General features: G+C 57.8%; 2 protein-coding genes across 22 annotated transcripts in view, besides 3 other annotated features; one reads left to right on the top strand and one right to left on the bottom strand.

Annotated features, from left to right (window-relative positions):
- SCAP (SREBF chaperone) overlaps positions 1–18015 on the top strand; it is a 63447-nt gene extending 45432 nt beyond the window's left edge. For 9 of the 19 annotated variants that reach the window (XM_011533501.2, NM_012235.4, XM_017005918.2 and 6 more), the window contains 20 exons: positions 3026–3183; positions 4029–4249; positions 4434–4539; positions 5527–5699; positions 6085–6211; positions 7651–7763; positions 9160–9254; positions 10667–10765; positions 10924–11142; positions 11992–12368; positions 12853–13041; positions 13174–13375; positions 13447–13562; positions 13870–14392; positions 14489–14574; positions 16516–16598; positions 16703–16869; positions 17044–17124; positions 17310–17516; positions 17597–18015. In XM_011533501.2, coding sequence (XP_011531803.1) covers positions 3026–3183; positions 4029–4249; positions 4434–4539; positions 5527–5699; positions 6085–6211; positions 7651–7763; positions 9160–9254; positions 10667–10765; positions 10924–11142; positions 11992–12368; positions 12853–13041; positions 13174–13375; positions 13447–13562; positions 13870–14392; positions 14489–14574; positions 16516–16598; positions 16703–16869; positions 17044–17124; positions 17310–17516; positions 17597–17842 — 3588 coding nt within the window. In that variant the 3' untranslated portion in view covers positions 17843–18015. Of the gene's footprint in view, positions 1–3025; positions 3184–4028; positions 4250–4433; positions 4540–5526; positions 5700–6084; positions 6212–7650; positions 7764–9159; positions 9255–10666; positions 10766–10923; positions 11143–11991; positions 12369–12852; positions 13042–13173; positions 13376–13446; positions 13563–13869; positions 14393–14488; positions 14575–16515; positions 16599–16702; positions 16870–17043; positions 17125–17309; positions 17517–17596 lie in introns of those variants that run through there. The other 10 variants (XM_005264967.3, XM_047447740.1, XM_047447739.1 and 7 more) reach the window with 6 other exon arrangements.
- Positions 10135–10184: an enhancer, noted in NCBI's record as "active region_19815". NCBI's record gives its function as "activates an Ori minimal core promoter by ATAC-STARR-seq in GM12878 lymphoblastoid cells {active_cell/tissue: GM12878}" and the evidence as "EXISTENCE:reporter gene assay evidence [ECO:0000049][PMID:35858748]".
- Positions 14916–15415: an enhancer, noted in NCBI's record as "H3K4me1 hESC enhancer chr3:47457771-47458270 (GRCh37/hg19 assembly coordinates)". NCBI's record gives its function as "activates a minimal SCP1, AML or CMV promoter by ChIP-STARR-seq in naive H9 embryonic stem cells {active_cell/tissue: H9 hESC(naive)}" and the evidence as "EXISTENCE:reporter gene assay evidence [ECO:0000049][PMID:30033119]".
- Positions 15416–15917: an enhancer, noted in NCBI's record as "H3K4me1 hESC enhancer chr3:47457269-47457770 (GRCh37/hg19 assembly coordinates)". NCBI's record gives its function as "activates a minimal SCP1, AML or CMV promoter by ChIP-STARR-seq in naive H9 embryonic stem cells {active_cell/tissue: H9 hESC(naive)}" and the evidence as "EXISTENCE:reporter gene assay evidence [ECO:0000049][PMID:30033119]".
- PTPN23 (protein tyrosine phosphatase non-receptor type 23) overlaps positions 18261–24295 on the bottom strand; it is a 32415-nt gene continuing 26380 nt past the window's right edge. For all 3 annotated transcript variants that reach the window (NM_015466.4, XM_005265031.3, NM_001304482.2), the window contains 14 exons: positions 24112–24191; positions 23885–23999; positions 23741–23806; positions 23206–23351; positions 22609–22920; positions 22379–22533; positions 22128–22279; positions 21862–22041; positions 20010–21768; positions 19729–19913; positions 19498–19602; positions 19275–19413; positions 19069–19182; positions 18261–18990 (listed from right to left, as the gene is read on the bottom strand). In NM_015466.4, coding sequence (NP_056281.1) covers positions 18511–18990; positions 19069–19182; positions 19275–19413; positions 19498–19602; positions 19729–19913; positions 20010–21768; positions 21862–22041; positions 22128–22279; positions 22379–22533; positions 22609–22920; positions 23206–23351; positions 23741–23806; positions 23885–23999; positions 24112–24191 — 3988 coding nt within the window. In that variant the 3' untranslated portion in view covers positions 18261–18510. The remainder of the gene's footprint in view (positions 18991–19068; positions 19183–19274; positions 19414–19497; positions 19603–19728; positions 19914–20009; positions 21769–21861; positions 22042–22127; positions 22280–22378; positions 22534–22608; positions 22921–23205; positions 23352–23740; positions 23807–23884; positions 24000–24111; positions 24192–24295) is intronic.

The raw sequence follows: 24295 nt of genomic DNA, 5'->3' as shown, positions 1-24295 counted from the left end.
GAGGAGGACATTTTACCGCTGATCTTCCTCTCCCAAACCCATAACCGCAGTATAATTAGAAGTAAAACATCAGACAAATCCTAGTTGAGGAACACCCTACAAAATGCCTGACCAGTACCCCTTGAAGCTGCCAAGATCATCAAAAGCAAGGGAAGTCTGAGAAACTGTCACAAGCTACAAGAAGCCTCAGACACTACAGCTAAACGTAACGTGGTTTCCTGGATGGGATCCTGGAAAAGAAAAAGGACATTAGGCAAAAACTTAGAAAACCTGAATATACTTTGGACTTTGGTTAAGAATTTCACTGTGGACTTTGGTTTTCAGAAGGAGGACTACAGAGATGAAATGTCCTTCTTTTTATATACCTCAGCCTCCTAAATTATTTAAAAATTCACGTACATTAAGATTCAGTCTTTGTGCTGTAAAGTAGGGATTGTGGGAGTTCACTCAGCACAGTGAGTGTGGGCCCTGCCCACATCTTCCTTACCAGGTTAGTGCTCCTTTCCTGCTCAGACCTGTGTGAGCTTCTGTTCTGGTCATAGCCTGTGGCAGCCAGCTCCATCCAGGTGCCTCTGTGCCTCCCAGCAGCTTCTAGTGGCTGAGCGTGATACAGAAGACAAAGTGGATGAGGCCTTCTGTCCCCAGAGCCCTCACTAAGGCACAGCCACATAAAGTTCACAAAGGCTCAGACGGTTGCCTCTGGTTGTTCCTTTGTGCCCAGGGTCCCAGGAGGCATTAACTTGCTGTGCTTGGTCAGCATCTTGGCCCTTGCCTATGCTGTAACCTGGAGTACTGCATTGGTGAGTGGCTCCATGGCCTCCCTTTCATCCACACGCATGCCCCTTGGAGTTCCCGACTGCAGCCCAGGCGTGGAGACAGCCCCTCATCCCTCAGCTGGGCTGGGCCCTGCCCCCTTCAGTCCACACCTCGCAGTACACCGCTGTCTAGGGCCATGTTTCCTTGTCTCCAGTTGTCACCAACTCCCGGGGAGTCTTTACAGAGCACTGCTTTCATCAGGTTGCCCCTTCACCTCAGAGACACTGGGCTTTGCTTTGTCAACTGATTAAAATCCTGACAGCTCAGTCAGGCTTCAGTCTAAGCCTGCTTGTCATCTTCCTCGTAATTTCTGTTATCCCCTGACAGGTTTCCTTGGTGCAGATGTCCAGGCCTTCTGTGCTCTCAGCATCCCTTGCAACTCACATTCCCTCCTGCTCCTCTCCTACCTGTTCTTTTCTAACCTTATGGCTCTACTCAGCTTCTCCTGGGCCATAACTCTGCTGTGGCTGACCCAGCATGTTTTGGGGTGCTCCGCGACATGCCTGTTACTGAGGGTTGCATATGTGAACACTCTTGTCATTTACATCCCTGTTAAGCTCTTGAAAGGTAGATGGCAGATTCTAGTGAGAAAAGTATGTGATATTTAGTGAGGAGACCTTGGTTTGAGTCCTTACACCACCCTGCCTGGAGTGTGAAGCTCTAGGCAGGCACAATGCCTGAGCCTCTCCTTGCTTCTCATCAGGCTGTTGTGAGGGTCAGATGAAGTGAAATGCCTGATTGTTCATTGTTAATATTTCTGCTAATCTTTCAGACACTGTTTGTATGCGTGTGTGGTGTGTGCATACATCTTGATGCTGCAGGGTGAATGTCGTTATTCCTGTTTCACAATGAGGAAATTGAAATCCAGAGATGTCAAAAGTGTTTTCAAGGCCATATGTTTGGAAAGCTGTGATTTAAAATTGGGTCCTTTGATCTTCAAAACCCGCTACTCTGCTGCAAGTGACAAAACCTGAATCAGTAAGACAGGTTACATGCTTTGGGGAGTGTAGAGTCTATAGTGCGGTCAGCAGACATGTTCCATAAAGGGCTAGATAGTAAACATTTAGGCTTTGCGGGCCAGACGGCCTCTGTTGCAGCCATTTGACCCTGCTGTTGTAGAGTGAAAGCAGCCATAGACAATAGTAATGGTAGGGGTGTGGCTGTGCTTCAGTAAAAATTGGAAGTGGAAAAACAGGCACTAACCAGCCTGGGCAACATAGTGAGACCCCATCTCTACAGAAAATAAAGAAGTTAGCCAGGTGTGGCACTTCGGGAGGCCAAAATGGGAGGATCACTTGAGCCCAGGAGTTCGAGACCAGCCTGGCAACATAGTGATACCCTGTCCCTACAAAACATTTTTGAAAATTAGGCGTGGTGGTGGTGCACACACCTCTAGTCTCAGCTACTTGGTGGGTGGGGGTGCTGAGGTGGGAGGATCTCTTGAGCCTGGGAGATTGAGGTTTCAGTGAGCCATGATTGGGCAATAGAGCAAGACCCTGTCTCAAAAAGAAAAACAGGCATGGGCCCTGATTTGGCCTACAGGCCATCGTTTGCCTACACCTGGTCCCACAGTGCTTTGCCCATAGTAGATGTGTTATTGAGCAAAAGAGGCTCGCTGCCCAATGTGCTAGAAGCCAATACTGTGACACCAGGATTTGGGGAAAAGAAAAGCTTTATATTGAAGGTTGACTCCCTAGGAGACCGGAGTCCAGCTCAAATCTGTCTCCCTGTGCTGGCTTTAAGGCAGTAATTTTATTAGGAAAGGTTTAGAGGGTGGATACTAGGATTAGCAGATGATTGATGGAAGGAAGGGTGATTTCTGGGAAGTCTTTGAGCATGCCCAGTTATCTCTTGATGCCACCTCACAGGTCCCATGTGCAAATTCCGGGGGGAGTTAGTATGAAACATGGCAGTGGAAATTCAGGCTGTGACATCGGCAAGCTCATTCTGCACAACTCCAGTCGGCCATCTTGGTTCCAGCTTATTTCAGCCAGTTCTTTTATCTCATAAGCGGAGGGAGTTTCTGGGTTTCAGCAAATTGTTTCTTTTCTTATCTGCCATCCTGCAAACTCAAGAACTTGTATTAGTCATTGGTTTCTTTAACTCTGTGGGGCACGGTTTCCAATGCCCATTAAATCCCTTGAATTGGACCGTCTTTCTTCTTCCTGTGCTCAGCTGCCCTTTCTGCCCTCCCTCATTTCTTCTGCAGTATGTGGGTGCCCCGGTGGCTTATGTCCAGCAGATATTTGTGAAGTCCTCAGTGTTTCCCTGGCACAAGAACCTCCTGGCAGTAGATGTATTTCGTTCACCTTTGTCCCGGGCATTCCAACTGGTGGAGGAGATCCGGAACCACGTGCTGAGAGACAGGTACCCCTCTCAGGGACCCTGGCCTCCCTGAATCCCATTCTGTACTGAAGGGAGAGTTACAGTCCTCAGTGTAACTGCAGTGAGCCAGTCAGCTCTGCAGAGATAGAACAAGCAAGAAGGATGGAGGGTGAGCTAGCCTTGAATTTCTCAGCATCCTTGTGGGTCTACGGTGGCTGCATTCCGCTTGGACCTATGCAGATGGCACACACATAGCCTTGAGTCTCATCCTTACATCTCAGATGGAGTCAGTGTCCACTGTGCTAACTCATGACCCACATGGCTTCCTGCCTGTGGGTTATGGTGTGAATGTAATGGTGGTGTCTCTGCCGACGAGAAGCAAGCTCTACCTGGGGGTACCTTCTGAAGCCCCAGCCCAAGTCGTGCTCCCCTGCCTATCAGTGGGTCCCTGGGTTATGCTGGCTTGGCATACAATGTGTGTAATTGGCAAGCTGCATCACTGCCAGGTTTTAGTTAGCTAGTGGCGTTGACAGATATTTTGGTGAACTAAATGAAGCCCCTAATTTACCCCGGTCCCTGCTCATCCACTGAACTGGCCAGGGTGTTTTAGTGGGTGGGGTTGTGCATGCTCTTATAGTACACTTGCCCGTCCTCAGAGCTGATGGGCTTTTGGGCTTCAGATGCACTTTGAAAGTCAGACAGCCACATGTTTAGGTTATTGGCCACCTGGAAGTACTTCCCCCTGCTGCCCTAGTGGTCAGGCTCTTTGGCGATACCAGAGAGCAAATATGGGGCATTGAAGAACAGACAGAGGATGTCCCCTAAGTACAGCAGGTCTGCCCTGTGGTGGCAGACACAGCAGGTGCCTTGTCCTGTCTCCTGTGCAGCTCTGGGATCAGGAGCTTGGAGGAGTTGTGTCTGCAAGTGACCGACCTGCTGCCAGGCCTTAGGAAGCTCAGGAACCTACTCCCTGAGCATGGATGCCTGCTGCTGTCCCCTGGGAACTTCTGGCAGAATGACTGGGAACGCTTCCATGCTGATCCTGACATCATTGGGACCATCCACCAGCACGAGCCTAAAACCCTGCAGACTTCAGCCACACTCAAAGGTAGCCCCAGTACAAGTTCCCTTCAGACCTGTAAAGGTGCCCATTGGTCACCGTCTTTTTGATGTGTGCTTAGGCAGATCAGGGTTTACCCTTTGTTTCCCAGGGTGGGGGTGAGAAAGGGGTCCTTGGTGGCTCTGCAGTAGCTGTCATTTCTGTGTCAGTACCTGCTGGTTTCTGCTTGCAGACTTGTTATTTGGTGTTCCTGGGAAGTACAGCGGGGTGAGCCTCTACACCAGGAAGAGGATGGTCTCCTACACCATCACCCTGGTCTTCCAGCACTACCATGCCAAGTAAGATTGACAGTACCCTGGGCTCTTGACTGGTCTGCTGGGTGACATGAGGCTTTGAGTAGTCCCTCTTCTGGTTAGAGTGTTCTGAATGCCCCCTGGAAACTTGGGAGAGTTTCCAGGCCTCCTGTTGAATGTTTACATCCCTCAGACTAGATGATGCTGTCTACCACATTTTAATGGGGATGACCTGACAGCTGGTTAAGCATAGGGGACTAAGGTAGGGCTGGCGGTCTCAGTGTCCTGGTGCCTCCTCTGGTCTCTCTTGAGCCTAGGGCAGGCATCCCCAGCTGGTTACTACTGAGCACCCTATATGGCCTGTGTCCTTCCCAGTGGGGCACTGCAGGCAGCTCCCCAATTGGCAAGGGCACTCGAGGTGCTTCTGATCGGCTCTCCTAGGCCTCTGGCAATCAAGAGTGTTGGAGGCCGGGCGCGGTGGCTCACGCCTGTAATCCCAGACTTTGGGAGGCCGAGGCAGGCGGATCATGAGGTCAGGAGATCGAGACCATCCTGGCTAACACGGTGAAACCCCGTCTCTACTAAAAATACAAAAAATTAGCCGGGCGTGGTGGTGGGCACCTGTAGTCCCAGCTACTCGGGAGGCTGAGGCAGGAGGATGGTGTGAACCCAGGAGGCGGAGCTTGCAGTGAGCCCAGATGGCGCCACTGCACTCCAGCCTGGGCGACAGCGAGACTCTTGTCTCAAAAAATAAAAAATAAAATAAATAAATAAATAAAAAAGAGAGTGTTGGAGTAGGTCCGGAAAGGGAGACAAAGAAAGGAGCAGGGGGAGCTCCTGAGAAAACTTTGTCCCCTTTGTGATTTTCCCAGTGCCCCTGGAGACTATAGAGAAGCTCAGGCACCATAGAGAAGTTCCCTTTCAACACAGGGGCAGGAGGGAGGTCCTGATGGACCCTCTGTCCGGGGATTGTCTTTGTCCCCAGAACCAAGAGCAACACTTCCATTTACCCCCACCCTGCTCCTTGACCAGGTTCCTGGGCAGCCTGCGTGCCCGCCTGATGCTTCTGCACCCCAGCCCCAACTGCAGCCTTCGGGCGGAGAGCCTGGTCCACGTGCACTTCAAGGAGGAGATTGGTGTCGCTGAGCTCATCCCCCTTGTGACCACCTACATCATCTTGTTTGCCTACATCTACTTCTCCACGCGTAGGTTCATGGCAGGGAGGCTGAGGGCTTTCTCCAAGCTAAACGGGCATTTCCATGTCACCTGCTTCCCTGGCTCTGGAGGTGGCTTGGGGTAGAGAGATAGAACACACCTGGTGGTCATCAGAGCTAGGGCTTTGTCCCCCAGCAGGGTCTTAGGAGCTTGGGTGGGGCCGGGGCTCTTCCCACTTTCAGCCCCTTCCTGGGTTAGGGTTCCTAAAAGGTGTACTGTGTCCATGACACTGGGAAGTGCTTGTGCCTGTCCCTTTCCTTTGGTGAAACCAGGAGTTTTCCCTTCCTCGACTGTCAGGGCAACCTACTCCCGGGAGCCCCAGTGGGCCGGGGGCTGGGGGAGGGGCCGCCCTGATACGCCCTCTCTGCCCTCCAGGGAAGATCGACATGGTCAAGTCCAAGTGGGGGCTGGCCCTGGCTGCCGTGGTCACAGTGCTCAGCTCGCTGCTCATGTCTGTGGGACTCTGCACACTCTTCGGCCTGACGCCCACCCTCAATGGCGGGTAGGTCCCTAGCAGGCTCCACTGGGCCACAGGGTGGGCTCAGGCCAGAGAGCCTTGCACTTCTGGGTTCTTGGCCTTCCCTGGACTTTGCTGTGACCTCACGTCTTCACATTGTTGTTTTTGACATTTAAGAGGTACATTTTCTTCCTCTTCTTTGTCTGGCTTGTATTCATACTTGTGTTTGTATATAGCATATCTAGCTATAGTGAGTGTCCATATGTACAAAAGTGCATATTTGTGGGCTGGGTGTGTATATAAGGGGTGTGTGTTGGTATGTTTGTGTATACATGAGTATGTATTGCATGTGTGTAGTCGGATTTGTGTGTCTGTGTTTATGTATTCTATATACACACACCACACACACACTGCAGCTTGATGGCTTAAGCCACTGGAGGTGTGAGATAGAGAAGAGAACATTTTTTTTTTCATGATTAGAACATTTAAATGCCTAATGAAATAGGTCATTTTAGAGGAAGCTCTTTGGAAGATATGAGCACACTGTAATTTGTCGCCTTTTTCACTGATGTTTACTTTCCCCTTGCCACTCCTCTCTGAACCTTAGTCTGGAAGCCCTTCCCTCGGCTTGTCCTCAGGCTTTGATCTTGGCTCTGGCTAGGCCCGCCTGCCTGTCTATTAATGGTTATTAATGGATTATGGATTGGCCTGTCCACCACTTTGGCCCATCAGGCTGGTCGTATGAAAAGCGACGTCGTATTTTGTTTCTGGTAGTTTCGTTGCTCTTAGATACCTGCTCCCTTTCCTGAGCTTGACACTGTTAAACACCACCCTCCCCCATACCGTCTGCCATACCCTTCACAGGGCCCTCCCTTCCTTCGGCTCCAAAGCAGAGGTCCTGCAAGGTATAACTTGGCTGGCGTTCCTCGCACATAGACTTTCTTAGGGTTTGCTGCGGGGAGTGTGGGACAGTGGGCTCAGATAGCTGGTAGAGCTTTGTGTAGGAACAGTCGTTCTTCTCCACACACAGCTTCTCAACAAAGGTGAGTGGGCCTTCAGGATGGTTTCATCTCCTTGCATTTAGCTGTGATGGGTCCACCCAGAGTTACTGGTGTGGGTCTTGGCAGCAGTCATTGTCTTTAGCCAGCAGTCTTCTCCTGGGAAGGGCCAGCAGAAGTGTGGTCTAGCAGTGGCGCTGCACAGCTCTCCCTGAGGGGCCTCTTCCAGCCCTCCTGTGCTGGATGGCTAGAGACAGGATGGCTGCTGGCCCCTCTGCAAGGCTCTGGAGCCTGCCTGAAAGCTGAGTGCTGTGTAGATGCAGGTCTTGTTGGGTGAGGTGGACAAGGGAGGGTTTCTGCCCAGCACCTGTGGGAGTCACTCAGCAGCCCCCATGACAGGCTGGAAACCCCACAGCCTTCCTGAGGGCCCCAGTCTGTTGGGAACCACCACAACACTGTCCTCACCTTCTCCTTCTCTGTCCCCAGCGAGATTTTCCCCTACCTTGTGGTGGTTATTGGGTTAGAGAATGTGTTGGTGCTCACCAAGTCTGTGGTCTCAACCCCGGTAGACCTGGAGGTGAAGCTGCGGATCGCCCAAGGTAACGCAGTGGGAGAGTTGGGCAGAGGGCTGCAGGAGGGGCTGGAATGGGGCCTGTTCCTCTTGCTGTTAACGCTCTGTGAGCAAACAGAGCCCTTGAAATGTCCCTTGCTCTTGCCTCCGGCATAATATGCAGTGGGCCACTGGGCCCTGGCAGCTCTTGAGTGTGTGCCCTGGGGAGCCATGGGGCCATTGGACTGTACTTCGTCCTGGTTCATGTGTCAGTAAGAAAGTAAACCAGGCTGGGTGCCATGGCTCACACCTGTAATCCCAGCACTTTGGGAGGCTGAGGCAGGTGGATCACTTGAGCCCAGGAGTTCAAGACCAGCCTGGGCAACATGGTGAAACCCCATGTCTACAAAAGATAGAAAAATTAGCAGGGCATATTGGCATGCACCTGTGGTCCCACCTACTCAAGAGGCTGAGGTGGGAGGATTGCTTGAGCCTGGGAGGTCAAAGCTGCAGTGAGCCGTGATCACACCACTGCACTTCAGTGTGGGTGGGGCTTGTGTTTGGTGGTGGCTTTCTGTCTGGGGAGTTTAGCGCCTAGTATTTTCTCTTACTGCCTCACTCCAGCACACTAGGCCCAAGCCCCGGGGGCTGGCCATTTCAGAGACGCTGCCTTCACGGCTGCCAGAAAAGCTCCCTCTGGCCCTGCTGGTAGAAACTGGGGATCTGGGGTTCTAGGGAAAATGAGAAAAGGGAGAGCCTGGCCTTGGAGGCCTGGTCACTTGAGCCTCTTCTTCCTCGTCACCCCATGTCTGTGAGGAATGGGGCTGTAGGCAGCCGTCCATTCATCCAGACCTCTGTGAGCCTCTGTGATAAGCCAGGCCCTGTGCTGGATATGGAGTTAGGAAGAGATGGGGCGAAATTGTCCTTACCCAGTAAGAGCACAGAGCCTTAGACATGCGACAGTGTGATAGCGTGGGATCAGGGCTCACTACAGGAAGGGGCTTGAGGAAGAACGCAGCCAGGTCCTCTACCCGCCGAGTGCTTCTGCCATGTGGTTGATGGGCACACTGTCATGCTGGCCCGTGCAGACCAGACAAGAACCACATGCGGAGGTTGGATGTGGTTGTTGTGGGTGGCACTTGGCTTTCCTTGTGGATTTTCTCATCTCCACACTCTGCTTCTTCCCTCTTTTGATGATTATAGCTCTCCTCTGCACCCTCCAGGCTGTGAACACCCGTTCCCCGTAGCAGCTGTGTGGTGGTGATGGCCCCTTAAAGTCTGGGCATTAGCAGGACCCTGAGGGTTGGGGTGCTTTGGTGGAATGGCTCCTTCAAAGGGCTGGGGGGCCTTGCCATGCCTCTGCCACTCCGAGGCCCATGAGGTTGTGTGAGTCATGTCGCAGAGTGGCCATGTGTTGCCCTGTGCCCTGTTGCTGCCCTCTGCAGGCCTAAGCAGCGAGAGCTGGTCCATCATGAAGAACATGGCCACGGAGCTGGGCATCATCCTCATCGGCTACTTCACCCTAGTGCCCGCCATCCAGGTAAGGCCCCAAGGCCTGCCACCTGGATGAGCATGGAAGCAACTGCTGTGCTCCCCAGCTGTGCAGCCATGGGCAGGGTGCTCCCCTCTTCAGCACAGGCATCCTTGCTTCTGAGGTGGGACCTCTTTGCCTGGCAAGCAGATCACTACAGCACCCAGATGGCCCCTGGCATGCCTGGCTCAGAAGTGCTCAGCAAACCCTGGCTGGGTTCCCAGATTGAGCACCTAGCCAGGCAGACTCTGCCCTTGACCCTGTCTTCCTACCCCTCCCTGCCTGCTTCCCTTTCAGCCAAGTGGCAGGAGGAGGCTGCAAGGGCATGGCAGGAGCTGGGGACTGGCTGTGCAGTTTGTCACACCTGTTTCCCATTTTTGAGGGAGAAGCACCGTGGGGTTCCTAGACCCTTCCTCCGGTCTCCTCCCTTGGCCCTGGCCTGTGCCGCAGTCGCCAGACGCATGGCCTTGCCTGGCCTGACCAGTGGGAGGGCCACCACCCATTGCCCAGAGTGACCCTGCTCTTGGCAAAGTGCCCTCACTCAGCTGTGGGCTGTGAGCAGAGGTGGAGGTGGCCCTGCACTGAGCTGGAACCCCAGACTGATGCCAGCCATTCCAGAAGGAGTTGCAGGAAGGGGAGGATGCCATCTTTTCTCGCCCGTCTTTCCCCCAGGGCTGGCAGGCCAGCTGAGGGATGGGGGTGAGCAGAGAACAGATGGGCTGTGGGCTGCTTCTCCTGGAAAAACAGTAGTATCTGCAGGATAGGGTACAGTCTTGGGACGTTAGAGCTGAGACAACCACTGTGCCACTATCTGCACTCCATGGTCTTACCCCAGATCGGAGTAGCACTGTGGTGATGTGCTAGAGGTCTCAACACCGACATCTCAGAAAATTTTGTCTGCTGACAGAGCTTGGGGAGCAGAGAGCTCACCCTTTTTCAGTTTTAGAGAATTAATCCCTCTCTCTCTCTCTTCATTGTTCCGGGGCAGTTGCTGGCTGGGAACCTTTCTGAGAGCCCCTGAATCAGGCCTGGGCTCTAGCTGGGTTGGTGATGCATGAGCAGGGCGGGGGCTCAGTGGGGAAGGACTTTTTGGGGAGCAGGCTGGTGGGGCTTAGAGGTTTCCGGGTTGGATCAGGCCTTCAGTCCCCTCTAGAGGGACCGGAAGATTCAGGGAAGGTACTTCCCCTTCCCTTTCAGCCCTTTCTGAAGAAAGTGTGAGGGTTTCTTCTGCCCCCTGGTGGAGACGGGGTGAGCTGCTGCTGGTATGTGAGCTGAGGACCAACCAGCATCTCTCATCTCTGCTGTGCCCTGCCTGCTGCTGCCCTGCCGGTTATGAGGTGGCTGCAGTCCGGGTACTGCTCCTCTTGGGCTGGGACAGTGAGGTCACGGCACCCCCCCATCCCCATGTGCTCTGATTCCAGGAGTTCTGTCTCTTTGCTGTCGTGGGGCTGGTGTCTGACTTCTTCCTTCAGATGCTGTTTTTCACCACTGTCCTGTCCATTGACATTCGCCGGATGGAGGTAGGAGTGGGCTGAGCCCTGCCCTGCCCGCCTCCTCAGCCCTGGCTGTACTGAGGGAGTCCTGGGTGAGAAGGGTGTAGACCTCGGGCAGGACAGCGGTCCTGTGCGAGCAGCCTCTGGATGGTGGACTCAGGCCCTGACCACTGTGCCCCCAACAGCTAGCAGACCTGAACAAGCGACTGCCCCCTGAGGCCTGCCTGCCCTCAGCCAAGCCAGTGGGACAGCCAACGCGCTACGAGCGGCAGCTGGCTGTGAGGCCGTCCACACCCCACACCATCACGTTGCAGCCGTCTTCCTTCCGAAACCTGCGGCTCCCCAAGAGGCTGCGTGTTGTCTACTTCCTGGCCCGCACCCGCCTGGCACAGCGCCTCATCATGGTACCTGCCACCCCTGCCCTGCCCTGCCCTCTTCTGGAGGGCCGGTGCTCCAGGCCCCTTGTGGTGCTGCACTTGGCCTTAGAGTGGCAAAGGGTATTCCTCAGGCCCTGGTGGCCCCTGGAAGCCTGGCTCTGGGGAGTTGCCCGTTGTGTCCTCCCTGCCCAGACCCTAGTGGCTTCTGAGGAGATAAGCCTGTGGGAGAAGCAGCTCCAGGGTTCTCAGGTACAGGAGCCATCCTCTCCCCAGAGTGGCCCAGGACAGGAGCCTGTTAGTTGAGTGCTCTGGGATGGACCCACTTGTGGCCACCACATTGCCCTGGGTCGGGTTCATCGGCCGCTGCATGGTGTGCAGACACTGGAAAGTGCTGGGCAAAATCATTCACCAGCCGGGCTGGGCTGGCCTTGGGGCAGCAGTGCCTCTTCCAGGGAGCTGAACTGAGATGGGAGGAAGGCTGAGGCCCCCTGGGACTAGGACCTCTGGGGGACTCTGGAGCAGGTCAGGTTGCTGGCCCTCTGACCGTAGGAATGGTAGCAGCTTTCTGGCTCCAGCTGAGGTGGAGCTTAGGGGTGGGGACATTCTGTGTCAAACCTCAGGGTGCTTCAGTGTATTTCCAGGCCAAGAAACTCAGCCCCTAACTGTGGAAAGGCAAGCAGGCCCCTCCAGCAGCAAGTGTTGGCAGGTGTTAGCAGGAGGACTTGGAGAGGCAGGAGAAAAGGACGCAGTGGGGCCTGTGTCCTCTCTCCATCCCCAGGCCTGAGGTCCCTGTGCTGCTTCCTCTCAGCATGAGGGCTGAAGCTGCTGGGGGTTGGGGCCCATTCCTCCCACTGAGTACCCCCTGCCCCACTGCAGGCTGGCACCGTTGTCTGGATTGGCATCCTGGTATACACAGACCCAGCAGGGCTGCGCAACTACCTCGCTGCCCAGGTGACGGAACAGAGCCCATTGGGTGAGGGAGCCCTGGCTCCCATGCCCGTGCCTAGTGGCATGCTGCCCCCCAGCCACCCGGACCCTGCCTTCTCCATCTTCCCACCTGATGCCCCTAAGCTACCTGAGAACCAGACGTCGCCAGGCGAGTCACCTGAGCGTGGAGGTCCAGCAGAGGTTGTCCATGACAGCCCAGTCCCAGAGGTAACCTGGGGGCCTGAGGATGAGGAACTTTGGAGGAAATTGTCCTTCCGCCACTGGCCGACGCTCTTCAGCTATTACAACATCACACTGGCCAAGAGGTGAGCTGGGCCGTGCCAGGTGCCACCTCACTCGATGGTGTCAACTCACCATCCCCTTTCCCCAATGCAGGAGGCCCACAGGTTTGAATTATGCAAATAATTAAAACAGTTCATAAGGTTGTGAGGTGGGAACTGGTGGTTTAGGCAGCTATAACCCAAGAGAGGAGTCCCAGGTTGCTCTGAGGAGTCACTGGTGGCTGCCAGCCCTCACCAGAATGAGACCCACCCACCTGTGCCAGGAGTGGGGAGGGAGATACCCCACACGGCCACCAGGGCTGTTTGGGTGCTGGTATCTGGGACAGCAAGTTGGCTGCTAAGCTGGGCTGGGGAGGGACCTACCTCTGTCCCCAACCCCCCATGCTGGGAGAGTCTGGCCGGTGGAGCTGAGGCCTGCCTGGGGAGGAGGGAGAGGACTGGCTGGCGAGCACAGCAGGAGGAAGCCCTGGGAGGCCCCCCGCTGAGGCTGCCCACTGTCCGAATCCAGGTACATCAGCCTGCTGCCCGTCATCCCAGTCACGCTCCGCCTGAACCCGAGGGAGGCTCTGGAGGGCCGGCACCCTCAGGACGGCCGCAGTGCCTGGCCCCCACCGGGGCCCATACCTGCTGGGCACTGGGAAGCAGGACCCAAGGGCCCAGGTGGGGTGCAGGCCCATGGAGACGTCACGCTGTACAAGTAAGGCTGCTGGGTGGGGTGGGGTGGGAAAGAGTGCGGGGAGGGGGACGGGTAGGCAAGAGTAGGGGAGAGGGAGGAGGGGAGGGGACAGGCTGTGAGGTGTGTCTCACAGCAGTCCGCCCTCCCGTGCAGGGTGGCGGCGCTGGGCCTGGCCACCGGCATCGTCTTGGTGCTGCTGCTGCTCTGCCTCTACCGCGTGCTATGCCCGCGCAACTACGGGCAGCTGGGTGGTGGGCCCGGGCGGCGGAGGCGCGGGGAGCTGCCCTGCGACGACTACGGCTATGCGCCACCCGAGACGGAGATCGTGCCGCTTGTGCTGCGCGGCCACCTCATGGTGAGCAGGGGCACAGTGGCCGGGTAGGGGAGGGCCGGAGCCTGGCCCATACCAACACCGGGCTTCTGCAGGACATCGAGTGCCTGGCCAGCGACGGCATGCTGCTGGTGAGCTGCTGCCTGGCAGGCCACGTCTGCGTGTGGGACGCGCAGACCGGGGATTGCCTAACGCGCATTCCGCGCCCAGGGTAGGTGCGGCTGCCCTTTCCTCCTTTGTGCCCCCACAACCCCCCTCACCCCACCCCCCGCCGCCACGTATCTCCCCTCCTTTCTTCCTCCGAGGTATCCCCCAACCCCTCCAGGCCCCCTCTCCCCCCACCCCCGCACCCCCTCCCACCACCCCGTACCCCCCTCTCCCCACCCCGCACCACCCTCTCCCCCCACCCCCTTTTCCCTTGCCCCTTCTCACTCCCACGCCCCCTCTCACCCCCGTCCCCCGCCCCCTCTCACCCCCCTCCCCCGTGCCCCCTCTCACTCCGCCCTCCTGGCCCCCAGCAGGCAGCGCCGGGACAGTGGCGTGGGCAGCGGGCTTGAGGCTCAGGAGAGCTGGGAACGACTTTCAGATGGTGGGAAGGCTGGTCCAGAGGAGCCTGGGGACAGCCCTCCCCTGAGACACCGCCCCCGGGGCCCTCCGCCGCCTTCCCTCTTCGGGGACCAGCCTGACCTCACCTGCTTAATTGACACCAACTTTTCAGCGCAGCCTCGGTCCTCACAGCCCACTCAGCCCGAGCCCCGGCACCGGGCGGTCTGTGGCCGCTCTCGGGACTCCCCAGGCTATGACTTCAGCTGCCTGGTGCAGCGGGTGTACCAGGAGGAGGGGCTGGCGGCCGTCTGCACACCAGCCCTGCGCCCACCCTCGCCTGGGCCGGTGCTGTCCCAGGCCCCTGAGGACGAGGGTGGCTCCCCCGAGAAAGGCTCCCCTTCCCTCGCCTGGGCCCCCAGTGCCGAGGGTTCCATCTGGAGCTTGGAGCTGCAGGGCAACCTCATCGTGGTGGGGCGGAGCAGCGGCCGGCTGGAGGTGGGCAGAGGGGCTAAAGGTGGGCAGAGCGGCTGTCCGCCCCGGGGATTGTGGGCCTTTCTGGCTGGCAGGTGCTCACAGCCTCTGGACTCGTAGGTGTGGGACGCCATTGAAGGGGTGCTGTGCTGCAGCAGCGAGGAGGTCTCCTCAGGCATTACCGCTCTGGTGTTCTTGGACAAAAGGTGAGCGTGGCCTGCCTCAGCCCCAGATGTCCCCAGCCTTTGTTGGCTAGGCCATACTCTCTTGAGTCTTGAGTTCTGGTTCTCTTCAACTGCTGTACTGTATGATTCGATTGACCTTCTTGGTGCCCAGCTCCACACCTGTGAGCAGAGGGCAGTCCACTTGGATGGGAAGGTAACAATTAAAAGCGTTAGGGGTGGCCGGGCGCGGTGGCTCACGCCTGTAATCCCAGCACTTTGGGAGGCCGAGGCGGGCGGATCACGAGGTCAGGAGATCGAGACCATCCCGGCTAAAACGGTGAAACCCCGTCTCTACTAAAAATACAAAAAATTAGCCGGGCGTAGTGGCGGGCGCCTGTAGTCCCAGCTACTTGGGAGGCTGAGGCAGGAGAATGGCGTGAACCCGGGAGGCGGAGCTTGCAGTGAGCCGAGATCCCGCCACTGCACTCCAGCCTGGGCGACAGAGCGAGACTCCGTCTCAAAAAAAAAAAAAAAAAAAAAAAAAAAAAGCGTTAGGGGTGTGACGTGCTTGGAATAGGGCATGGCACATGGTGACCTCCCAGGGCCTTAAGCAGTGACAGTGGGGAGTGATATACTCCTATCCTTTCTCGCCCTTCTCAATGAAGCCAGTTTCTCTGATTAGCTTGTCAATATTGAGCCTTTGGGGTATCTTGGTTGCATTTTTAGTTACAGAGTGCGCTTGCAGAACCCTCTCTTCTCCTTGGCCGCTGGCAGCTGTTCTCTGCTCTCCCTGCCTCTGTCGTGCTTGGCCTCCTCAGCAAGCCTGTTGGCTGTGGGCGTCCCCAGTACTCCGTCTGCATGCACACTCCTTGGGGAGTCTCAGCCACCTGGGTTCTGGCCCCACCTCCAAGCTGGTGAACCTGGGTCTCCACCCAGTGGCCAGGTGCCTTCTGCCGGACGCCTTTGCCTGCCTGTCCCACACTGGCTCCTCCTCCAAGGCTCCTTGACTGTTGGTGGCAGCACCATCTGACCTAGAGCTGGAGTCTTTTTCCTTGGGGAGGGGGCGTCCCTTGCCCTTAGTGATGTTGATTTCTGCCAGTGGGCTGCTGCCGTCATTCCTGTCACCACAGGTTCTGCATGGGCTTTGGCTGACATCCTCCCCTCCAGCCTGGCCAATTTCACCAGGCCCCTCCATGCTTCTTGGAAATTCTCCTTTGCTGCTTGTTTTAGCTTTAAGGAAAGCCCCGATGTCTCAACCTGACCATCAGGGTTCCTGGTGACTGTGGTCTCTCCTTGTCCACCCACTTCCAATCATAAAACTGGCTTCCCCAGCTCTGGTGCAGGCCCTTCAAATTCATGGGCAGAGGTTGTAGGCAGACATGCATTGCCTTTCCCTGCAGTAAGATTTTGAACCCCATCTGCTTTGAGGCTTTGGGGTTACTGGGCAAATATACCCATCCCTGCCTGTCAGACTGTACCTAGGAATTTTGGAGAGCAAAGAAAATCCTTGTTTCTTTATGGAAAAAGGAATTGATGTGAGCTGTGCTTGGGTTGAAGCTGCTTTTATGTGGAGAATGCAGGCTTCCGCAACACCCAACATAGCCCACCCTGCATCCTGTTTCCCCTCAGCAGCCCTCCCTTCAGCTCCAGGCTACATGGAGCCCTCTGCTTGTTTTTAATTTACAAACTTACGTGATATTCACCAGGTACCACCTTACACGTTAGCTCACTTGATTCTCATGACCACCCTGTGAGGTGGGTACTCTTATCCCCATTTTACGGATGAAGAAACTGAGGCACAAGGTGGTTAATATTTGGAGTTGCCCTCTGGCTCCAGCATCTGTTCTGGCACCATGTGCTTTCCTCTTGGCCATGTCCCTCCTGTGCCTTCTTGAACTGGCCCTTAACTCTCATGTCCACATGCTCAGCCCCAGGGCTGGGGCTCTAAGGGAGAGGCCCCTGGCAGCTGTTCTTCTCTTCCAGGATTGTGGCTGCACGGCTCAACGGTTCCCTTGATTTCTTCTCCTTGGAGACCCACACTGCCCTCAGCCCCCTGCAGTTTAGAGGTCGGAGGGCCTGGGGTGGGCAGGTGTTCACACTTGGTGGGACGGGCAGGGGCCGTCTACCCATTGCTTTCTCAGAGATTCTTCACTTGGCCTTTTGTCCTCAGGGACCCCAGGGCGGGGCAGTTCCCCTGCCTCTCCAGTGTACAGCAGCAGCGACACAGTGGCCTGTCACCTGACCCACACAGTGCCCTGTGCACACCAAAAACCCATCACAGCCCTGAAAGCCGCTGCTGGGCGCTTGGTGACTGGGAGCCAAGACCACACACTGAGAGTGAGTATTGTCTTGTCTCTTGGGTGCTGGAGTGGCCCGGCACGGGGTGGGAGCCTGATGCATTCGTCAGGGAGAGGCTGGAAGAGTCCTGATGAAGAACAGAGGGCATTTCCCAGCCAAAGTATAACTTGGAAAATCCCAGAGACCAGAACCTGAGGCCCATCCCTGTCCCAGGTGTTCCGTCTGGAGGACTCGTGCTGCCTCTTCACCCTTCAGGGCCACTCAGGGGCCATCACGACCGTGTACATTGACCAGGTAAGCGGCCTGCAGGTGGGGTAGGGGGTACAGAGTCTGTGGCCCATGTTTGCTGACTCCTGGGAGCTGGTCCCCAGGGGCCTTCCAGGAAGCAGTCAGGGCCCCACCCACTGGGGCACAGGGACACCACTGTTGACAGAGGTATTACACCATGGTGACCCCACTCCCCTGGCCTGTTTCCCCAGACCATGGTGCTGGCCAGTGGAGGACAAGATGGGGCCATCTGCCTGTGGGATGTACTGACTGGCAGCCGGGTCAGCCATGTGTTTGCTCACCGTGGGGATGTCACCTCCCTTACCTGTACCACCTCCTGTGTCATCAGCAGTGGCCTGGATGACCTCATCAGCATCTGGGACCGCAGCACAGGCATCAAGTTCTACTCCATTCAGCAGGTAGAGGGGATGGGGATCATAGGATTCTTGGGATTTTAGGGAAGGACTCAGGACTGAGCTTGTCATGTCCTTGCCTCCAGGACCTGGGCTGTGGTGCAAGCTTGGGTGTCATCTCAGACAACCTGCTGGTGACTGGCGGCCAGGGCTGTGTCTCCTTTTGGGACCTAAACTACGGGGACCTGTTACAGACAGTCTACCTGGGGAAGAACAGTGAGGCCCAGCCTGCCCGCCAGATCCTGGTGCTGGACAACGCTGCCATTGTCTGCAACTTTGGCAGTGAGCTCAGCCTGGTGTATGTGCCCTCTGTGCTGGAGAAGCTGGACTGAGCGCAGGGCCTCCTTGCCCAGGCAGGAGGCTGGGGTGCTGTGTGGGGGCCAATGCACTGAACCTGGACTTGGGGGAAAGAGCCGAGTATCTTCCAGCCGCTGCCTCCTGACTGTAATAATATTAAACTTTTTTAAAAAACCATATCATCATCTGTCAGGCACTTTGGGAGCTACTTGTGTCTCTTGGAATTGTTTGTGCACACACTCTGCCTGGACCCTCCTCAGAGCTGCTGAGGAAACATACATACAGTGTGGCACGGGGAGGATGAGCAAGCCAGAACTGCAGGGCCCTTAAAGAACTGTCCTGGTAGTGTGGCAGTTTGGTACCATCCTGTCATCCACAAAAGGTGCTAAGTAAGTTAAGTTCCTGGCAGTGCTACTGGAGCTGAGGCAGCAATGGGCAGACTCAGACACGGGCCACAGAACAGGGTGGTTTATTATTTCAATAGCAAAGAGCTGAAAAATGTCGGGTCCCATAAAGGAGCAGAACCTGACCCAGAGCCTGCAGTACATTTCCACCCCACAGGGGTGCAGGCTGGGCCAGGCAGGGCCAAAGGCAGCAGAAATGGGAGTAAGAGACTGTGCCCACTGAGAAGCTCTGCTGGGTGTGGGCAGGTGGGCATGAGATGATGATGATGTAGTGTAAGGACCAGGTAGGCAAAACCTGTTCAGGTCTTGTTGAGTGTCCAGAGTGGATCCAGAAGGCTGAGGGGGTCGTCAGAGGGCCGGGTGGCCCGCAGCCCTTGCCCGTTATGGGCCTGCAGAAAGTTATGCTTGCTCATCCGCTGTTTGCCCCGCAGGGAGCTGTCCAGGGAGAAGGCCTCTGGGGTCAAGGAGGCCAGCAATTCCAGGGAGGAGGAGGGGGGCCCCGAGCTGGGGGCTTCAGGCACTGGCGGCTCCTCCTTAGGCTGGGGAGCCTCAGGTAGTGGGGAGGAAAGGGGGGGCGGGGAGGAAGATGGGATTGGGGTAGACTCTGGGAGGCTGGCTGGCGGGAGGCCTGGGGGCTCTGCAGGGCCTGGCAAGCTGGCAACCGGGGACTCCAACCCCCCAGGAGGCCGAATGCTGAGCTTGGCAATGGTGGCCTGGATGGAGCTGATGGGCACATCCCCACCGAGGACCAGGTCCTGGGAGTCCTGAGGAAGGTGGTTCTGAGAAGACAGAGTGAGTGAGGAGAGGGAGTCCCAAGGCTGTGGCTCTCCCAGCAGCTTCCACGGAACCTTCCTCACCTTCTGGCTGATGCTTGCACTGGCCAAGGGTTTGCATGGAGGAGGCACACCATGGCGCTGCAGGACCTGCTCCACGTGTCTCACCACTGCCTCATAGCAGAACCTGAGGTGCAGCTGCACAGGTGCATTTGGCCAGGTCAGCTGGGCAGGGGCCCGTCACCCTGGGACAGAAGGCCCATCCCAGCCCCATCTGCCCAGATCCTCACCTTCTCCTGCAGCATGTGCTTTCTCTGCTGCCGCATGCGCCGCACCAGCTGAGGCAGCTCAGGGATTCCGTTCCCAGCCTCCACCTCCTGCACAGCTGCATAGAGCAGTGCAAAGGCTCCCGTGCGGCCCACACCAGAGCTGTGCCAAGAAGGGGTTATGAGGCCGGGGTATGAGGCTAGGCCAAGAGCCCATAGAGGAGAGACCCTCAGGCCCACCCTCTACCTGCAGTGCACAATGATGGGCGTGTGCAGCGGCCGCTGATGCAGGTAATGTGCGTGCACCTCCTGGATGAAGCGCAGCAAGTTGCTGGGGCTGTCGGGCAGGCCTCTGTGGGACAGGATGGGGCCAGGAAGAGCCTATGAGCCAGGCCTGACCTGAGGCTCTCATCCCTCCCAGCACCAAGGACTGGACAGCACTTAGACCCCCAACCACCATCCAGAGCAGTGGACTCACAACTCAGGCCAAGTGGGGAAGTGCAGGTGCACAAGAGAGCGCTTGAGGCTCTGGTCTCGGAACTGCAGGCTCAGCACGCGCTCCACATGGGTTTCGGTGCTGCGGACGCTGCTCAATGCCAGGCTCAGGGCACCGTGCACCATGGGCTGGCCCCTCTCGGTGGGGAAGTAGCGTGCCACTTTTTGCTGAGGGACAGATAAGCCAAGACAGACCTGGTTTTCCAGGATCCCCTGCCCTGCCACCCCACACTGCCCTCGTGGGCACCCACCCCCTCTTCTCACCTTCTCCATCTCAGCCTCAGAAACCAGCATGACAATGACTGACACTTTCTGCTCATGGACCATGAGCCAGAAGTCAGCAGCTGTGCCAGGCAGTGGGGCCTGGGTTGCCACTAGCGGGGGGCAGTATGGGGAGAGCCCCTCCACGCAGCTGGCATTGATGTAGTCATCCTTGCCTGAGCGCAGCACCACACGGTTACTGTCATAGGGCATGACATCCTGGTGCCGGTTCTTCAGTGAGTAGCAGCGGGCAATGGCGATGGAACGGCCTCGGGCATCATGTTCCTGCGCATCTTGCAGCTCTCGCCAGACAGTGTCCAGAGCTCCCACATCCCCCAGCTGACCCCGAAAGGCCTCCAGCTCCTGCTGCAACTGCCGCAGCCTCTCAGGATGCTCATAGGGGTCCCGCTCAATCAGCCGCAGGGCCTGCGGCCGACGACCCTCAGCTGCATCCACCTTGGTGGGCTGCAGCAGGGGCTGCCCACCCCCAGGAGACTGAGTGCCGCCATGCTGGCTCTCCGGGCTGGAGGAGAGCAGGTCTGCAGCTGCGGCGCCTCGGCGCAGGCAAGGGGGTGGTTCTGCTGCTGGGGGGCGAGGGGGTACCGGACCAGGCCCTGGAGATGGGGCAGGTGAAGGCACCAGGTGGGGACTAGGGGTGGACTGGCCAGCAGACGAGGGCCCTCGAATGGTAAGAGGGGCTGCCTGGGGGCCCATGGGTCTGGTAGAAGGGGCAGGACCATATGCCAGTGGGGGATGGGGAGGCTGAGGGGGCCCAGGGCTGGGGAAAGGCAGAGCCCCTGAGTGGGCTGGCAGAGGGTCTTGAGCGGGACCTGGGTAGAGCTGGGTGTGTAGGGGGGGTGGCGGCTGCCCCAGGACCCCAGGCTGAGGGGCATAGGGGTAGGGGGATTGTGGGGGTAGGAGTCCTGGGGCCTGGGGTGGGAAGAGATGTGGATGCTGGAGTGGAAGGGGCTGCTGTGGGGGCTGAGGCCCAAACGCTTGTGAAGGATGGGGCTGAGGATGGGGCTGGGGCTGGGGCCCAATCCTTGGGGCTGGAAAACCTGCGGGGATCCCAGAAGAGAAGTGGTGCTGTGCCGGGATGGGTTGCTTAGCCCCTGCAGGGTAGGTGTAAGGCGTGGGCAGTGGCTGCGGTGGGGGCACAGGGAAGCAGGGCGGGGGAGGAGCAGGGGTGGGGTTTGGCCGTGGGGCTGTGTGGCTGGGGATGGGCGCCTGGATGCTATCTACTGTGGTGGTGGCTGGCCGAACCGCCATGGCCAACTCGGGGCCTGAGAATTGAGGAGGTGGGGCCGAGGGGAGACCTGCAACTGGTGGGGCCGGCCCTACCCCCACATAGGGACTGCTCACCACGCCATGCTGTGGGGAGGATCGGGGCACAAGGCCCAGCTCCGGTGTGTAGGCAGGGGCTGGGTAGAGGGCAGGCCCAGGTGCTACGGGCATTGCATGGGGCCCTGGGGCCCTGGGCTGTATCAGCTGGGTGGGGCCCGAGTAGGTACCAGGGGGCAAGGGGCCTGAGAGATAGTGGGGTCCTGGGCCTGTGGAGCTGGGGAAGGGGCTGGGAGGAAAGTGGAGCGGGGTGGCACTTCCCAGGAAGGTGTCAGGCAGTCGTGGGCCAGCCACCATGTCAGGGGGGAGGCTGCGCAGCTCCTCAGGGGGGTCTCCTGCTTCCACTGCCTCACTCTCCTCCCTGCGGGGCAGCAGCGGCTTTGGGGCTGTGGGCCGTGGCGGCGGCTTCTTCTTCAGCTCCCTGTGCGACAGGCAAGGAAAAAGTGGGGCCAGGCTCCCATCACCCCAGCCTGTCTGGACCCGAGCCGCACCACAGCCCCAGGGCCACACAAACCTGTCCAGGAGCTGCTGGCGGGCAGCCTCGCGGGCCTGGCAGGTGGACTGCGTGCGCTCCAGCAGAGCAGCCACCTTGCTCTCCAGATCTGCGTAGAAGTCCCTGCCCTCCTGCGACTTCTTCATCAGGTCCTCATAGGCTTCATACGAGGCCACCAGGGTCTGCAGCGTGGAGTTCCACCTGGTGGGCAGAAGGGCCAGCTCCAGGTGAACCATGGGGCTGGGCTCCAGGTGGCTCCGGGAAAGAGCAGAGGACTGGGCACTGACTTTTGGTCCAAGTCGCTGAGTACCCGCCGCACGGCTGCGTACTGCACGTTGGCCTCTGTCAGTGCACAGAGGACACGGTCCTGGGCGGCCAGGTTCTGCTCCAGGTACACCTTCAGCTGGTCATACTTTTTCAGCTGCTCCTCGAACAACTTCTGAGGAAGGGGTGGGGGCCAGGGACGGACACTCAGGGCCTCGACTCCTAAGGGTGGGGCCCGGAGCCAGAGCCCCTCTACCCTGCTCACCCAGCCCACCTTCATCTCTGAGTGGTCTGTGGTGACCAGCGAGGCAGTGATGTCATCTTTCTGGATAAGCTCACGCAGCTGCTGCTCCAGGGACACGCGCTGGTCCCGCATCTCCTGCACCTTAGCCAGGATGCGCTTTAGGTTTTGCAGCACGGCCTTGTCCTCTGTGGGCAGCAGTGGTCAGTGAGGCCAGAGAAACCCCCAGCTCGAGTCTCCCAATGGGGTCTGGTGGGGCTCACCTGGGGAGAGGGCCGGTGTGGGCAGGGCAGCCCGGACCTGGTCAAGCGGCCCGCTGAGCAGGCGCAGGTTGCCGACGTGCAGGTTCATGGCACGGTGCAGCTCACTGTTGGTGAAGGAGGCCTTCTCATGGACTTCCATGTACTTGGCCCATTCTCGCCTCACCTCTGCCAGCTCAGCCTTGGAGGTGATGGAGATGGCCCCTGCCTGGCCCACCGCCTCCTGAAACTTCTGCTCTAGCAGCTCATCCTCCTCCAACAGATCTCTGATGTCCTTCAGGGAAGCCTCCACATCCGTGAACACACCTGACAGCACTGGGGTTGTGGATTGTACAGGCAGCCCCTGAGGCAGGCTGACCGGGCACCCATGGGCCCCTCCCCCAAGAGACAGAACCGCCCCCTCAGGTCAGGGCTTAAGTGAGGCCCAGCGCACACTGAGCAGGGTGCAAGAGGTATGCTGATTCAGAGGAGTGGGTGTGGATGCCCAAGCCAGGGCCTAGAGGGGTGCAGCCTCCATCCTCAGTGACCAGGGACACGGAGGAGGCCACAGCAGATGACCTCCACACTCCCTTCCACCTGCTTGCTCTGCCCCTTACTCACCTTGCATGGACTGTACAAGGTTCCTGACAGTGTCGGGCCGGACGCTGAGAGCCGCGCACTTCTCCATGAGCTGGGGTGGGATGTGGCTGTAGGCATCAAGGTTGTCCACCGTCTCGGGATCCAACTGCATTGAATCCATGAACTGGCTGTGGGGAGCAACAGGGCCAGGTGGGTGCTGGGTGCTGATCCAACTCTGACCATGTCAAAGGAGCCGCTAGGGCAAGCCTCACCACTCAATCTGAGGTCTCAGCAGAGAGCAAATTGTGACCTCGGACCCCTACTACCAGGTCTGGCCTGGTCTCACAGAACATGCCCAGGGCACTGCTGGAAACAGTGGAACAGAAGGCACCTCCTCCTCCCAAGACATGACTCCTGCCTTACACACTAGCCCCACCACCCCAGGCGGGAAGGCAGCATTGGGAAACCTGTTTGGAATGGACATTTCATTCCTCTCCCAGCATAGGCAGCCCTGGGGCCCCCAGAGGCCCGGGAAGTGCTGCCTGCCTCCGCCTCCCTGCCCAAGTCCCACACTCACTCCAGGACCTCATTCTTGTCCTCAATCTTGGCCATCATCTCCCGGAGCAGCTTGGCCTTCTCCTCACTGCAGAAGCGACAGAGCATTTGCTGAAGACCCACATCTCAAGACACCCCACCTCCCTCTGTGCCACCCTCCACCCACCTGTACAGTGACGAGGCCTCGTGGGCAGCCATGGGTACCAGTTTGGCAAAGATGTCAGGGCCTGTAACAGCTGGGTCTGTGGGGTTCACTGGCAAGGGCTTCACCAAGGGGGCTCCTGGGGGGGTGGGAATTGTGGAGATCAGGCCCACGCAGAGTCCTTGAGGCAGCCTCCTGTGTCCTGTCCCCACCCCACCGTCACCTCTGCCCCCACCTCTCAGCTCCCCGACCTTTTACAGGCTGAAGAGTGTCCAATGCTGGGACAGCCTCATGGTAAATGAAGTCGTTGTCCTTCTTGGCAGAATTGTACCTGGGGATCAGGAGCAGGGGGAGTGGGCAGTCACGGGGTGTCAGTGGGGATCCAGAACCTACTTCCCATGTAGATGCCAGCAGAGGGACAAGACCCTTCACAAA

This window comes from Homo sapiens, chromosome 3 (assembly GCF_000001405.40).
Source record: "Homo sapiens chromosome 3, GRCh38.p14 Primary Assembly".
Classification (NCBI taxonomy): domain Eukaryota; kingdom Metazoa; phylum Chordata; class Mammalia; order Primates; family Hominidae; genus Homo; species Homo sapiens.
Note: the sequence above shows the minus strand (reverse complement) of the source record. Positions and strands in the feature narration are given on the sequence as shown.